This window comes from Homo sapiens, chromosome X (genome assembly GCF_000001405.40).
Source record: "Homo sapiens chromosome X, GRCh38.p14 Primary Assembly".
Lineage (NCBI taxonomy): Eukaryota > Metazoa > Chordata > Mammalia > Primates > Hominidae > Homo > Homo sapiens.
In genome coordinates, this window is record NC_000023.11 from 111,623,896 (window position 1) to 111,627,655 (window position 3,760).

The window sequence follows — 3,760 nt, forward strand, 5'->3', positions numbered from 1 at the left end:
ACTAAATTTACATTACCACCCACAGTTTGCAATGGTTCTCTTTTTTCCACATCGTCACCAACATTTATCTTTTGTCTTTCTGATAGTAGCTATTCTAACAAGTCTTAGGTGATAGCTCATTGTGGTTTCAATTTGCATATCCCTGATAATTAGTGATGTTGAACATTTTTTCATATACCTGTTGACCCATTTGCCTGTGTTCTCTTGACATATATATATATTCAGGTCCTTTCCCCATTTTTATTTATTTATTTATTTTTATTTTTTGGCCTTTCCGATTTTATTTGGGGCACACCTGGGCGAGGGCCCTGCATCTAGAAGAAGGTGTTGGGCCTCTTGGTGGTGAAGCGTGGCTTGTGCTGACGGCGCAGGACCTGGTGGGGCAGCGGGAACTTGACCTTAGAGTCGTGGAACTGCTTGACGGACGGCCGGCGGCACTTGCCGGCTGCGATCTCCTCCACCTTCATGATCTGGATGGAGTGGGCCTGGGCGCAGTGCCGAGAGTCCATGACTCGGTAGCACTGGGTGACCGCCCGCCGTGGTCAGGTCCTGGTATTCCCGATACAGGTTGTGGGTGCCGCTCAGGGAGTCACAGCGCAGCCAGATGCGGAAGTTCTTCACCCGCAGAGGGGACTTCTCAAACACCCACCCAGAGTAGGCAATCTCCCCTGAAAACTTCTTCATCTTCTTTAACTGAGATACGAAATACCAGAAGCTGGACTTGGCGACGACATGATTAGGCGCAAACATTCACATGCCATAGAGGGGCGGTGTGTGGCATTTGGGGGTGGGCTGGTAGCGACCCACCACCTTGTACTCTCTTAAGTGCGCTATGCCTTCAGGGCGTCCTCTCCAAGCTCGCCGCCACCCGCAAAAGGGCTTTCCCCATTTTAAAGTCAGATTATTTGTTTTCCTGCTATTGAGTTGTTTTAGCCCCTTTATATTTTGGATGTTAATTCCTTATCAGGTATATACTTTGCAAATATTTTCTCCCGTTATGTAGGTTGTCTCTTCACTCTGTTGATTGTTTCCCTTACTGTGCAGAAGTTTTTCAGTTTGATGTAATCCTATGTGTCTATTTTTGCTTTTTTTTTGCCTGTGCTTTGGGTTCATATCCAAATTTCATTGCCCAGACCAATGAATCTTGCTCCAATGTCATAGAGCTTTTCCGCTGTGTGTTCTTCTAGTAGTTTGATAGTTTGAGGTCTTACAATTAAGTCTTCAATTTGAGTTGGTTTTTATATAATGTGTGAGTTAGGGTCTGTTTTCATACATGTGGATATCCAGTTTTCAAACACCATTTATTGGCAAGACTATTCTTTTCCCATTATGTGTTCTTGGCACCTTGGTCAGAAATCAGTTCCTTTGCCCATTTTTAGATTGGAGTATTTGTCTTTTTATTGTTGAGATTTAAGAGTTCTTTATATATTCCGTCTAGCAGTTCCTTGTATTTAGATTTTTTTTCATCTTGTTTTACAACTTCTAATGTTTAACATGTTTTACAATGAACATAATAGTACAATAATTAATGTATATTACCTATAACTAAATTTGGGGGGTTTGCTCAAGTTTAGGAGCCTGCAATTAAAAGTCTAGAGACCACTGCTTTAGACCAAAATTATTTTTTTCCTCTCTCATCTGTTTGGTGTTTGCAAGAAGGGGAAGCTGAGTATGCTAAAGACAGACTTCAGCTCTTACATCTTTTAGCTACTGGCCTATTGATCTGTGCCTGGCAAGGGAAAGGTACTTTATGTTATGCTAAACAATTAACACATATTGCTTAGGAAACCCTAAATATGACAGAGAAGGAAGGGTGGCTAAAATGTAAGTGCTTACTATGTTAACAAAAAAAAAAAAACAAAAAACAAGGCCTAGCACATAATGACTGCTTCAATAAATATTAGCCTAGGTAAACATCATCATTATTTTTATTCTACTGATTAGGACATAAAGAGTCATGTTAAGTAACATTAAGTAACACAGCTAATGAATTGTAAGCCTGGACTCTGAATTCAGGTCTGACTGCAAAGCCCATTTTTTTCTATGGGACACTGTGTATTAGTCAAACTACAGGTCAGATTTTTGCAGTGAGTGGGAAGTTGGACTAGATGACTTCCCTTCGAATTCTAAGACATTATGAAAACATTTGATGTAAAGAAGCATTCAGGTCTGCGTCAGTGGTGATTTTCATAGCTTATAAACATCTAGAGGCAAGAACCATTTTGTCTTACTTCCTTTGAATAATACCCAGTGACATGTATAAATGGAATTAATAACTGTCTGTGATGGTGATATGCCAAACATTGACTTAAAGCTGATTAATGCAGAGATATATGATATTATTTGGGAGTTTTTATTATTGTTTATCTAATAATCAATTAGATTTTATTTATACTTATTATAGTCAGAATGCAAATTTGTATTTATAATACAATTTGTATTTCTACTTATTCAAAGTAGATTTCATTAAATACCCTGAAAGAATCTAGGCAATACCATTCTGGACATATGGAAAGGCAAAGATTTCATAACAAAGACACCAAAAGCAATTGCAACAAAAACAAAAATTGACAAGCGGGATCTAATTAAACTTAAAAGCTTCTGCACAGCAAAAGAAACTATCAACAGAGTAAACAGACAACCTACAGAATGGGAGAAAATATTTGCAAACTCTGCATCTGACAAAGGTCTAATTTCCAGCATCTATAAGGAACTTAAACAAATTTACAAGAGAAAAACGAACAACCCCATTAAAAAGTGGGCAAATGGACGGGAGCGGTGGCTCACACCTGTAATCCCAGCACTTTGGAAGGCCCAGGCAGGCAGATCACCTGAGGTCAGGAGTTCAAGACCAGCCTTGCTAACATGGCAAAACCCTGTCTCTACTAAACATTCAAAAATTAGCTGGGCATGGTGGCAGGCGCCTGTAATCCCAGCTACTCGGGAGGCTCGGGCAGGAGAATCACTTGAAACCTGGAGGCGGAGGTTGCAGTGAGCTGAAATCATGCCACTGCACTCCAGCCTGGGGAACAGAGCGAGATTCAATCTCAAAAAAATATATATTATAATAATAATAAAAAACTGGGCAAAGGACATGATCAGACACTTTTCAAAAGAAGACATATATGTGGACAACAGGCATATGAAAAAAAGCTCAATATCACTGATGATTAGAAAAATGCAAATCAAAACCAAAATAAGATACCACCTCACACGAGTCAGAATGACTATTACAATGTCAAAAAATAACAGATGCTGGTGAGGTTGGGAAGAAAAGGGAACTTACACTGTTGGTGGGAGTGTAAATTAGTTCCAAGCAGTATGGTGATGCCTCAAAGAGCTAAAAGCAGAACTACCATTTGACCCAGCAACCCCATTACTGGGTATATACCCAGAGGAATATAAATCATTCGTTCTACCATAAAGACACATGCACACAAATGTTCATTGCAGCACTATTCACAATAGCAAAGACATGTAATCAACCTAAATTCCCATCAATGACAACCTGGATAAAGAAAATGTGGTGCATATACACCATGGAATACTAGGCAGCCATGAAAAAGAATGAGATCATGTCTTTTGTGGGAACATGGATGGAGCTGGAGGCTATTACCCTTAGCAAACTAACACAGGAACAGAAAACCAAATATCCCATGTTCTCACTTATAAGTGGGAGCTAAATGATGAGAATTTATGAATACAAGGAAGGAAACAACAGACACTGGGTCTACTTGAGGGCGGAGGGTGAGAGGAGGGA

At 39.8% G+C, this 3,760-nt stretch overlaps 1 pseudogene; it reads right to left on the bottom strand.

Annotated features, from left to right (window-relative positions):
- RPL18AP15 (ribosomal protein L18a pseudogene 15) lies at nt 268-878 on the bottom strand (annotated as a pseudogene).